General features: G+C 40.9%; 1 protein-coding gene across 15 annotated transcripts in view, besides 1 other annotated feature; it reads right to left on the minus strand.

The window, feature by feature from the left end:
- The window catches only part of SLC1A2 (solute carrier family 1 member 2), a 169,303-nt gene that overhangs the window by 40,429 nt on the left and 115,495 nt on the right, over positions 1 to 13,379 (minus strand). For 13 of the 15 annotated variants that reach the window (XM_047427443.1, NM_001439342.1, NM_001195728.3 and 10 more), the window contains 2 exons: positions 9,886 to 10,012; positions 654 to 887 (listed from right to left, as the gene is read on the minus strand). In XM_047427443.1, the coding sequence (XP_047283399.1) occupies positions 654 to 887; positions 9,886 to 10,012 (361 nt within the window). The remainder of the gene's footprint in view (positions 1 to 653; positions 888 to 9,885; positions 10,013 to 13,379) is intronic. The other 2 variants (NM_001439343.1, XM_047427441.1) reach the window with 1 other exon arrangement.
- Positions 3,773 to 4,274: an enhancer, noted in NCBI's record as "NANOG hESC enhancer chr11:35316953-35317454 (GRCh37/hg19 assembly coordinates)". NCBI's record gives its function as "activates a minimal SCP1, AML or CMV promoter by ChIP-STARR-seq in naive H9 embryonic stem cells {active_cell/tissue: H9 hESC(naive)}" and the evidence as "EXISTENCE:reporter gene assay evidence [ECO:0000049][PMID:30033119]".

The raw sequence follows: 13,379 nt of genomic DNA on the forward strand, positions 1-13,379 counted from the left end.
ATGATAGTCCAAAAAATGATTTTTCTCTACATATCTCTGGGGTCCTCTTTGGCTTTCTAGGTACTGGAACTAAGTAACAAAGGGGGAACTGATTCTTCATCAATGCCAAGTTAACTCTGGGGAAAAATAATCCATTAGAGGTTCGTGTCGAGGTCAAAGACTTGGCCGAATTTTGTTAGAAAAAGTCTCACCTAACATACCATTTACTTTGTAAAAGCTGCTTCTCCTACTTTTGAAAATGTATTTACCAAAATCTTCAAAGAGTAATATTTTGTGATAGCATTTTCCAAATCACAGGTGAAATGTTTATTGAAAAATATCCTGTTACACTCCCTTTAGAAAACATCTAAAACTAAACTAATGATTTAAGTGGCAAATTAGGCATGCAAACAAATAGCATGCATTTATCTGAAAAATTTAATGTGAGATCGTATTTCCAATATAGTTGCAAACCAGCAAAAATGTTCACCAGAAGGCTCAGAAGTTCCTAGAAGGAGACAAAAATTCAAATCATTCGCCTTTTCCAAAAGATCTTAGTAATGTGTGCCAAGTGTTCTTATTGAACTTTGTGATGGGAGGGTTTTGAGAAATGAGAAATGGCAAAGAGGGCAAAAGAGTGAGCAAAGAGAAAGGTGATTTCTTTTGTTCTCTACCTGGAAGCGGTGCCCAGGGCAGTGATCCAAGCTTGGAAAATGCCAGCAAAAAAGGAGAAGGGGTTTTTCCTGGTCACTACAAAGTAAATCAAGGGGAGAAAGATGCCCCCGTGGATGATGAGGCCTATGATCACTGTTACCATGTACATCCCCAGTTGCCTAGCAACCACTTCTAAGTCCTTGATTGCAATGATCTTTCCACAGATCAGGCAGGCGATACCCAGGGGAGAGTACCTGAAAAACACAAAAGGGAAAAACAGCATTGAAGAGATCATTAGGGATTCAGAACCTGGGCCTCCTCTGTACCGCACACTGAGGAAAACGCTTGGCTCTTCTGTACAAAAAAAGACTTTTGCTGAGAAAAGTTCATGTTATTTTTTACTTTGGACCACTTCCCTTAACCAAAATCTGTTTTGTGGATCTGGTGGCGCCTGCTCTGATGAAAAGTCCAAAGGCAAATTTTGTGGCTAAGGTGAGTTCTAGGAATAAAGGAGAGACATGCATTGCCATCTTTATCTTTACCATCAAGTTCAAAGTTGAGAGACCCAGGTGTGTCTCTGGGAATCTTGTTTGATTTGTGTTCCTCAGTTCCTTCCTAGAAATTTGGGAATTTGAGCTTTTTAGAAAACTATAAACTGGAATTTGTAAATTTGCATTGTTCTTACCTAGGAAGATAGGGAATATATTGAAATGAGAGAGAGACAGAGAGAGAGAGAGAGAGAACAAGGAAATCATCTGAGCCAAAATGTACATTTAGAGAAAAGTGGTTTTATGACTTCTAAGTCTGAAAGTCTTTTTTCCATACTTATTCTAACAATAATGCTGGCTACTTTCATTTTGTTTTAAGCACTATGGTGAGAGCTGCACACCCATTCCCTCACTTAATGCTTACCACAACCCGAAAATCTAGGTGTCATTATTGCAACGTGGCAAATAAAGAAACTGAGGTTAAGAAAAGCTAAATAATCAGCCCAAGACCAGGAAACCAGGAAATGAAAACAATCTCAGGTCTGTGAAACTCCCAACTGGGGGATTTTCCCAACCAAGACAAGCCACTTCTTTTTAGTGAATAATCACAGCTCTTTGTAGATAAGCAGTTTGTCGTATACCAATTTATCTTATATAAACTGATGTTATAGTTCTATCTTATTATTAATTTATAGAGAGTTTGGAAACTACTTTGGTCCTCACTCTTGGGAAAGCTATTTTCTCTCTCAACCTGAATATATTCTTCCCATATTTGGTAAAATCCTTTATTATCCAGAATGGTGTTGTTAGGGCATGAATTTGTTCAGCCTGTGACAGTTTCTGGCTGATATGAAAATATTTATGGGAAGGCTGCTACCTTATTAAAAATTATGAACATACTTGAGAGAAAGACTATGGGGAGAATGAAGTCCCTAGATAAGGCTTCCAGCAGGGGTCAGGGAGTCAGGAAAGGATGCTGTAATTGTAAGATCTATACAGACTTGCAATTGTGCCTGGAGCAAACACTTTCCTGGATTAAAGAAAAAATGTGAAGAGTAGATGAGACACATATATATGAATACTACATAAGACATGGAGCTCGTCTCACCACTTATTAGTTATTAATATGTGACCATGGTTAGTGGCTTATTCCCATTTTACAGATATGTATGTCAAGGCTCAGAGCGGCTAACTCCAACCTCATGGAGATGCTGTGGGGATTAAATTTTTGAGCATGCATATATGTGTGCTGCTAAAAACCCCTCTCGCATCTCTGTCAGTACCATTAATTCTCTGAGTCCCGACAAAGGCATTCCTTGTAGGTTCTGTTTTCACACATGTACCCCATGTCCTCTCATCACTCATGCTTAGTAAGCCTGAGTTAGTGATGCTTTCTAGAACATCTCATGGGATACCCAATTGCAAGATGATTTTATAGCAACATATTCTCTCAAGAGGAACCTAATCCTGAAGGAACTGATCTGTAACTGACACAAATTAGTTAAACTAACATTAGCATAGCTGCTCTCTTCCCATATGAGAATCTAGCCTGAAGGTCCTACTTTTCCTTTCCGTGGGGTGCAGGCTGGTCAAGTCTGAGGACTGCTTCCCTAGACATTAGGGAGTCTGAGACAAACCTGTGCTCATGTCATTAAACCCTTAGCTCTCCCGCCATTTTATATTCTGCTGGTGTGTCCATAGTCACATCTTATAAATTATCAAGGTAGTCTCAGGGACCAGCACTTCATTCATTGAGACTGTAAATAAGCAGAATGAACCTTCCTATAAAGCCAAAAAGCATTTATCTTCATAAAACAAGAGATCAATTCTTTCCCAAGCACCAAGCACCCTTTAAAGATGTCCAGAAAAATACAAATATAAGCTGTTTGGGGTGCCATTCAATTTTCCTTCTCTCCTGGGACGAGCAATTTGTAGAATGGAGAGAAAATGCTTTCAAGGCTCTTTGCCAAAAAAAGACTAGCTATAGAGTCTCCTGGAGAATGCATTTGGGCCACAGACAGATGGACTAGAGAGAGGTAACAGTTTACCTCTGGGGCACTTAGCCAGCTGAGAAAAGCATGAGCTCCCATTGTAAATGGAGAGTGTTAATCAAAGGCCAGAAAGTGAAGTGTTAGGGTTTATAAATATGGCAAGAAGAAGCCCTTGCTAATCCAAACACCTTGATCTCTGGGAATAGGATGAGCATTAAGTAGAAGAAGGTAAGAACGTTTGTTCTATGAAGTCTTTCAGGGCCATTACTTTCTTGTGCCTATTTTTATTTTATTTATTTTTTATTTTATTTTTATATTTTGAGACAGAGTCTTGCTCTGTTAGCCAGGCTGGAGCTCAGTGGCACCATCATTGCTTGCTGTAACCTTGACCTCCTGGGCTCAAGCAATCCTTTCACCTCAGCCTCCTGAGTAGCTAAGACTACAGGTGTTTGCCACCATTCTCAGCTAATTTTTGTTTATTTTTATTTTTGTAGGAGGTCTCACTATTTTGCTCAGCTGGTCTCAAATTCCTAGCCTCAAGCAAACCTCCCACATCAGCCTCCCAGAGCACTAGGATTATAGGTGTGGCCGACCAACTGCACCCATTTTTAAAACAAACAACTTAGGCCTTCACTCCGAAACTGGGACTTCTGGGTTCCTGGGTTTCCATATCAATGAATTACCTAATTGAAAATAACATTCCATGGAAAAGGATGGGCAAATGCCCAGCACCCAAGGCCACCACTCAAAGCTTCTGAGATGAAGCCAGCAATCAAAACCACAAATCAAAGTGCATAAAGAGGCTGAGGGCTCCACGGAGAGTTCTGAAGCCAAATAATGCCCAGTGATTGTTGGTCCATTTTCCACATGAGAAGGACATGGCTGGAGAGCCTGGGGAGAGGGAATGGCTCCCATGCTGTTCTTAGGCTGTTCCTGTTCTCTGTTTTCAGGGCCACAGATTCATCCAGGACTGGCCTGTGGAGTCTTTTTCTTACTACTGTATCCATTCTAGCCTCCACCTACTTTGTCTTTCAGCCCTTGCCAGCCTAAGATGCCCCTCACAGGGCTCCACAAACACACTCATCTACAGCAGGCAAGCTACCTAGAATTCAGTCGGTGTCCAGGTGCCAGAAACCACCAGCTTCCTGTTAACAATTCCCTGGCTTACCCTGGGCTTACCTGAGCTTACCTGGATTCCCTGGGCTTACCACATACCTATGGAGTCAGAATGTCCTGGAGCTGGCCTTGGGGCATTTATATTTTAAACAAGCTCCCCAGGTAATTCTGATCTGTTTGAAAACCAGTATTTCAAGAAACAAAAATCTTAACTGCAACTGATGAAACGCAGATATTACTTGGTGACCTTCTGGAAACCATTTACCTTAGCTCCAACTACTTCAGGATCTTTGAGGTCTTAACTCACTGGAATAATTCATTTGGGACTTTCAGGCCTGGGACAGATGATGAGACAGACACTTGGAGTGGAGGTAAGCTGAGGGACTTTCTCAGCCCTGCTGTGGAGCACCTCTGGTTCTGTCCCACACGTTTCCAATAGCTTGTCAATAGACCTAAACACACATTCCAAGAGTTGCTGAAAGGTGCTGTCTGTGCTCAGAAAGTATCACAAATCTTCATCTTTCCCAATCCATTTAGGGATAGGAGTTCCAGCTACCCAAAGAGTGATTTTTGTTAAAAGTTACCATTTGTGGATTAGAACTTTTCATCAAGACAGAGTGAAAAGCAGTTAGTATAGCCTCCAGGTTTATTATTCCTCCAGAGACTTCCTTTTGCAAGGAAATGAAATTCCAACCCATCAAGGTGGCCTGCAGGACCCTGGAGGATCTGCCTCCTGCCCACCTCTCCAACTTGACTTCCTTTTGCCCCCTTTCACCAACCACACTGCAGCCTCTCTAGACCTTTGTTCTGACCCTCAAAAGGCTTTCCCTGCCACTTCTTCCTCTTGGAATATTCTCCCCTCAGTTCTTCACCAGGTTGCTTGGCTCACTCTGCAGGTCTTCATTAAAGGTCACCTTTCCAGACAGCACCACGTGGGCCATCACTTCTACCCCCATCACTATCTCTCGCTATTGCACGGCACTTATTACTATTCGAATTAATAATAAGTGCTACAAAGACAATTTGCTACCATTTGCTCCCTTTTGGCTTTCCCTCTCTCCCTTTCCTAGAATGTAAGCTCCACAAGGGCCAGAACCTTTCTCTGTCTTATTCACCATTATCTCACCAGTACCTAAAATCATTGCCTGCACAGAATAGAATATTTATTGAATGAAAAAAAAAATGGATGGATTGACAAAGATTCTTTGTTTGACCAAACTTCAGTTAGGCGTCTGAACCTTCTTCTGGCCTCTTCTGGGCTCTTTGCTAAACCTTCCTTATAAAATCCGGTTTAGCAAAAAACTCATCTAAGTCAGGTTAGCAAGAACCTCCATCCTCAAAATCTGATCACCCTCAAATCTGATCAGGTTCTTCATCCTCTCCTGGACGATGTTTGGTCACCCTGTGGCCTTCAGCTAGAATCCTGTGGGGTTGGTTTAGCCAAAATACTCCTTACCCCCGAGCATCCACTGCCCCCACCTTGCTCCATGGCTATAAATTCCCACTTACCCATGTTGTACTTGCAAGTGAGCCCAATCTCTCTCCCCCACTCCAAAATCCCGTTGCTGTGGTCCCTGTGCTCATTGCAATGATCCTGAATAAAATCTGCCTTACTGTGTTTTAACACGTGTCATTGAATAGTTTTTTATTTAACAGTGTGGATGGATGGTGGTTTATTGGAAAAAGGAATTGGAAGAGTAGGCAGAGATTTTACTTCTCACTTTATGTTTTTATAGGGGTGAGATTATGAAACATTTTACTTTCTGTTTAAGTTTTTCAAATTTTGAAAAAAATGTTTTAAATAACTACCTAAGAAAATGAGGATACGAAAATCATACAAAAATTAAGGGGTTTTCAGGTTTCTTAAAGAATTCATGAACACAGAGATACAAAGGATATGGATTGAATTGATGATAATATTGGTAACAGCAAACAGCTATTACTATAATACTAATCCATGTAAAGTGCTTAGACAGTTCCCAGCACAAAGAAGGTGCTTCATGACTGTTGGTCACAGCCTTAATTCTCACAGCAACCTATGGCCTGGATTCTAGAATTATCCCATTTTACACACCAGAATATCGGGGCTTAGAGTGTCTAAATTGCCTAAAGTCACACAACTTGCAATAGGAGGATCCTGGATTCAATCCAGTCTGAAGTCAAAAAGAAATTGATGTAGGTATCACTTCCGTACAGCTCCATAACACTGGGCAAGTCAACCTCTGTGCTTAGTTTTCTCATTTGGTAAATGGGTTAACAAAAGCACCTATTTTTGTTCAGTACTATTGTGAAGAATAAATGAGCTAATGCATGTAAAACAATTGGAATAATATTAAGTATTTAGCAGGAATTTGGTAAATTTAAGTTATTTAATAATAATTGTTTCCTCAGTAATAAATGGGTTAGTACCTGTACTGTAACCGAAATAGTACTGAGCATACAGCAAGAAGTTAGTAATTCTAATTTATAATTTAATAATAAAAAGAATTATTATAATCTTTTCAATGTTACATTCTGCTATTATTACTATTATAACTGCTACATAGAAAAGAATACAAAAGAATTCTGATTTTTTTAAGCTTTGAGGGGTCAGTTAAAGAGTAGTTGACTGTTTTATCCAGAACCTTTTTACACACATCATTAGCAAATACTGATGCTGACGAGGCAGTGAAAGAATTAAAGAAATGTGTAGAATTGGCATCTCATGTCATGTGACATTGTCCTGACTATGAGCCTAGATGAGGTAACCAAACAGCTGTCAGAAATCATTCTAAGGTCTTATTCCTGCCTCACAACCACTTTTTACCTCCCAAGATGATAATAAGTATTTAGGAGTTCTGGTTTCAGTGAATGGGAAACTTCTTAATTCATACCACCACCCTCCATCTCTGGGGAGAAGGGAGGCTACACTTCATCCCACAGACTCATCTGATGTCCTAGAAGATTCCCTTTCCTGCAAGGGTTTAGTGGAAATCACATTGGTATGGACATAGGAAGGACACATACATTGCCCATGTTATTGGCATCATATTACAGAAATACGGGCTGCATGTTTGGCGTAAAGATGCGTAATCTGCTAGAAATTCTAGGAAACAATGGAAAATCCTAATGTTTAAGCAAGAGACTTATTCTGCATTGTGTACTAAAGTCTCAACAGACTCAGATGAATCTGAAGGACTTAAAAAATATGTTTTACATTTGGATGCGGTGGCTCATGCCTGTAATCCCAGTACTTTGGGAGGCCAAGGCAGGCGGATCATAAGGTCAGGAATTCAAGACCAGCCTGGCCAACATGGTGAAACCCTATCTCTACTAAAGATACAAAAAATTAGCCGGGCATGGTGGTGCACACCTGTAATCCCAGCTACTTGGAAGGCTGAGGCAGAAAAATCACTTGAACCCGGGAGGCGGAGGTTGCAGTGAGCTGAGATCGTGCCATTGCACTCCAGCCTGGCAACAGGGCGAGTCTTTGTCTCTCTCTCTCTCTCTCTCTGTGTGTGTGTGTGTGTGTATATATATATACATATATATATATATATTTTACAACACCACCATATTCCCAAATCTTCATACAACAGAAATATCCAGAAATCTAGCATTGCCTGAGAAGCTGAGGGTTCAGTACAATCATAAAAGAGAACATGATGTTATTTCACTAGCATCCTTTCTGTGTTTTAAAAGCACCGTAAAACAATGATCTGAACAAGCCAGGTCTGTTAAATATGGTTCATGAAATAGTGAGGAGCATCTTCTTGATCTGAAATCTTGGAGTTATCAGCTATCCCACTCGTTCCTAAAGTTTTAGTAACAATTGACTACAGGCACATCACCATGTTTGGTTCTGTGGAGATAAAAAAGAACAGATTTTTGCCCTTGTGAGGTGGGGTGGGAGACAAGAAAAGGAGGAAGAGAAAAAGCAGCTGGAATTTCCACGAAAGACACCTACAGAAAAGTGGAAAAGGATCAGAAGAAGTTTGGCAAAGAAGGTGGGTAGGCCTGGAACATGCAGAGATGGGGAATAGGTAACCCAGAATTCCTGTGGAAAAGAGAACACAGGTATGACTTGGTCTAAGAGTGGTTTTATTTTTTTCTAGGCAGACATACAGGACCATCCTAGAGATCTGAAACAAATGCAAGTAAAAAGCTTTCTGTCTGATGGATATGGGACACCAAAAGTTTCCAATGATTGAAGATGACAGAGCTTCCACAATGAGAGAATAGATACTCATGCTCTCCTAGGCTCCCCTAGATTTCAGAGTCACTGACTATAAACACATGTGAAATAAAGGGGAAACAATATTGCTTAGACGATCCAAACCAAAAAACCTACCTGCTTATGCATCAAGGGTTTTGATACCAATATGAACTACAGCTCTTCCTCTCCCTAGCTATAATCATCTTAGGCAAGTTAATTATTAGGTTGGTGCAAAAGTAACTGTGGTTTTTCCCATTGAAAGTAATGGCAAAAACTGCAATTCATAAGTTGAATTCATATGTCCCCCAAATTCTTATGTTGAAACTTAATTCCCAGGGCAGTGGTGTTAAGAGGTGAACCATCTGGGAGATGATTAGGTGATGAGGGCTGTGCCCTCTTCAATGGAATTAGTGCTCTTAATAAAAGATGCTCGAGGGAGCCTGTTTTCCCTTTCTACCATGTGAGAGCACACACAAAGGTGCCAACTACGAGGAATAGGCCCTCCACAGATACCAAATCTGCTAGTACCTTGATCTTGGACTTGCCAGCCTCCAGAAGGGTGAGCAATAAATTCCTATTGTTTATAAATTACCCAGTCTAAGGTATTTTGTTATAATAGATGGAAAGACAATGACTGTGTAAAAGAGACCCCAGAGAGCTTTCTGAATCTCTTTTCATGCTGAGCGAGGTGGCTCATGCCTATAATCCCAGCACTTTGGGAGGCCTAGGTGGGAAGATCACTTGAGCCCAGAAGTTTGAGATCAGCCTGGGTAATATAGTGAAATCCTCGTCTCTATAAAAAATTTTCAAAAATTAGCTGGGCATGGTAGTGTGCACCTGTAGTTCCAGCTACTTGAGGGGCTGAGGTGGGAGGATCACTTGAGCTACAGTGAGGGAGGCCGAGCCTGCGATGAGCCATGATCACACCACTGCACTCCAGTCTGGGTGATAGAGTCAGACCCTGTCTCAAAAAAATTACAATAGAATAAAATTCAAATAAAAATAAATAAATATCTTTCTAACTGTGGATACAATGAGAAGTTGGTCTGCAACCTGGAAAAGGCCCCTTATCAGACCCAACCATACTGGCACCCTGATCTTGAACTTCCAGCCTCCAGAACCATAAGAAAGAAATTTCTGTTGTTTCTAAGCCACTCAGTCTTTGGTATTTTGTTATGGCAACCCAACTAAGACAGTTACATAAAAATATACAACCCATTCTCAACTCGCTGGCCATATAAAAGAGAGAGTAGGTTAGATTTGGCCCAAGGGGCATAATTTGTCTACACTTGTTCTAGGGGAAGCTCCAAAAAAGATATTTTCATCCCTTTCTCAAAGTCTTTCTGGAAAGACATTTGATCAGCCCATGCCAACTTTTTCCTGCAGGGAGAGCTCCAGTATCCTCTGGGGACCCCAAGGCTTTCTCAACCCACTGCTAAGAAGTAAGAACAAGGCCACTTACCACATGATCATGATCACTAACTTCATTACAATCTCATTCAAAATGTTGAAGAAATCCACCATCAGCTTGGCCTGATCTCCCATCTTCCCCATAGCGATGCCAAAAGCAATGAAAAACCCTATCAGACCTGTTGGATGAATCACATTACATAGAAGGACAAATTACAAAAAATGTACTTTTTCTCCCTCATTCTTTACCATTCCCAATGTATGGAGCCATGTTCTCACTGCTGGTTACCCTATGAATTAGACATTAAAAGAACAAAGCATTATATTTGATACTGAATGTAACTTTCCCCTGGATAATTTTGGATTTCTTGAACACTTTCCACATGAGCAAGTTAAACTGTAAGCAGCATTAGGTCCTTGAAGAAAATGTATTCATTTTCATTCCAAACTAAAAGGTGCTCTCTTTTCCCTCCCCTCACTTATGAAATCATGTGTAAGCAGATTCCTTTATTACACAGATTAACGAGGAAAAGCCTGTTGGGACTTGGGGATTATCATACAAACTTTGGAGCCAATATTGGAATAGCAGAGGCCAATTAGCCAATAAATTCTTTGCTAGAGTTACATCTAGCTTGTTTTGGTATTATCCCAAATCAATGCATGGCTGGTATGTTTCACTCTTACAAAATCCTATATGTAAAATTATTTTTTATTACTACACACATAAAATGACAGGGAGAAAAAAATACTGAAAAATCAAAGGGAAAACAATAAGGAATCCGAAATTCCATTTTATCCAGTTTTTTTAAATGTAATCTGTTATTTATGAATTTGTCATAATTATTTTCATGATTGAAATGGTTAGAATGCTTTTTTAATTTTATTTATTTTTTCAGGATCATAAAGACAGAATATAGATTCACTGTCAGATTTTGCTAGTTCCTAGTCCCTCCACTCTTTTCTTCCTTTACTTGACATTCTTGACTTGTATCTAAGTCCAGCCTCACATCAGCCTTTGGGGTCAATCCTAACCCCAGGAAAGATTTAAGGAGCTTCATCTCTGCCCTCTTCATGTCAGCATCACATTGCACTAGGTCTTGGACCAACTCCAATACCCAACCATGAGTCTTACTTCTGTGTTGGCTTTACCTCATCCCCTGTGCCTGAGATCCTGGGAATCTGCCCTACACTTTAGTTCCTCCAAGGCTAGGCCTGGCTTTGCTCTTCCTACCACTCCTGTTGGTCCCTTCCATTCTCTCCCTCGGTACCTCACGCTCAGGCCTGCAGTCTCACTCCAACGCATCCAGGGACTGGGGCACATTGTGCGGCTTACAGGTGTTTCCAGTACTGCCTGGGGGCTATCTGGATTTCTAATTTCCAATCCCCATGTGCTCCCTGACCTCTGACCCCTGATCTAGTATTGCCATTCTTGAGGTCTCAGTTCTTACTACTTACATGTTCTATAAATCAGTGTTGCTATGTCCTTGGCTACAGGACTTTGCTTCCCCACCTGACTTGTTCTCTGACTCTGAAGTATGAGCCATCTTCTCTTTCCTCCTCTTCTCCACACCTAACCTGCTCAATTTGGCAGTCCTAATTTCCAGTCCCTCCCTATTATATCCAGTTTCCTATGGTGTCCAGTTATGCCTAAAGTCTTAACCCATACTCAGTAAATTTTAGCATTATAATTTGATTCTCTTATAACAAAATTCCTTCTCTCTGAACCTTTGACTTTACTCTTTCCCTAGTCATCTAACCCACTAACCTCTTTACACCAAGCACATATCAACCCAGATTGTCTAACTACCCTTTGCTGGATCCTTTCTATCTTCAGCAAAAAGAATCCATCACTTGCACTTGGGGTTACTAATACTTCACATTTAGTATCTCCTCTTTTTGCTCTCAGCTAGAAAGCTTGACAAATGACTTCACAAGTAAGTTATTGGTCTGGAAAGACAAAGGCTTAGGGAAGATTAGATCCAGGACAGAGGGAACTAGTTCCGCAGTAATGTACAAAATCAATTTCAGGCCATTCCCAAGTCCTTCTCTCAAGCCCATGGAGAGGAGTCTGCTACGTGGGAGGTCAAAGAGAATCAATCTGAATATTCTGGCTGAGAATAGCTCATATTACTTGGTTAATTTCATTTGAAATTAAGAGAAAATGCCCGAGGTATCAAGGTCCCAAAGAACTGGAATAAAAAAAGCTCCATTCAGTGTCAGCAGAAACTGGCCATATCTATGAGAGATAGGTTTTTAAAGGAACAGTTGGAGTTGATTTAAGCAGTTGGGAGAGGGTGGAGACCAGAATTGTTTCTGGAGGTTTTTTAGGAGAGAAATGGTTCCTTAAAGAAGTGGGAGGCAAGAGCTGGGGTTGTATCTTCACTTATTGCAAGTGCTTAATCCTCGGGACTTTCCAAAGCCAAAAAACAGAAAGACAGCAAAACAAACAAATAAAAAAGCCACTATCTCCACCCTCAGAAGACCGTGGAAAGAACCTTATTTCAGCCATGATTTGTAAATGGGAAGTTTCTCAACAGTCTAACTTCCCTTGGCTTTCCAGAGCCTTGATCTGCACTTGGATGGAAACCGTATTCAGCTTGTAATTTTTCTTTGTAAACATTGCCTAATTGAAATTGCTCACTGGAACGGGGGTGTTGCATCTGAACAAAACCCTCTTGGACTTGGCCGCTGGGGTTACAGAGTAGTGAGTTGTGTTGAAACTCCCCAGTAGAGCCAAAGGTCCTGTGACTTCCCAGAATCCACCAAGACTCTGGAAACAACCAGGAAAGTCTTTGAATGATTCACTCCAAAGCCCTGGCCCCATTGTTCATGGCCTCAAGCTCCTCCTGAGTATGGAGAAGACTGAGGAACACTTTGACAAAAGGGGGTTGGGTGTTTTAAGTTATGACCCACCAGAAAAGACCATGGGGGAGTTAGGAAGGACCTGAAAGGAACATAGATAGCTGGACAGTGAGGGAGAAGAGCTGCTCGGTGGTGGGTGCTGGGGATATTTGCAAAATCTCCCCAGAGGAACTCTCCTTCCTACTCCTCGCTCCTTCCACCTCTCACCTCCCACTGGTTGTTAAACAATGTTTATTGATCTTCCATTGCCCAGCAACCTAGTCAGCTCATCTCTTCCCTCACTCTCACTCATCCAACCTGCTTCCTGCCAAGCCAAACAAAAAAGATCTGCTTCTGCTTCTCAGTGACTGTGCAATTCTGCTCCCTCTCTCTCCTCTTTCTCTCTACCATTCTAGATGGCTAAGGAGTAGGCTTACCAAATTTGGAACAAACAAACAAACATGACACTCAATTACTTTTTGAATTTCAGGTAAAAAATGAATACTTTTTTTTTAGTATTATTATGTCCCATGCAATATTTGTGACTTACACTAAAAAACTATTTGCTTTTTATCTAAAATTCAAATTTATCCAGGCATTCTGTATTTTATCTGACAACCCAACTAAGGAGACAAGGCCATGTGATCTTTCAGATGACAACGTGAAAGGACTACTGAGCTCATTCATCTCTAAGTAGCTGTCATC

This window comes from Homo sapiens, chromosome 11 (genome assembly GCF_000001405.40).
Source record: "Homo sapiens chromosome 11, GRCh38.p14 Primary Assembly".
Classification (NCBI taxonomy): Eukaryota; Metazoa; Chordata; class Mammalia; order Primates; family Hominidae; genus Homo; species Homo sapiens.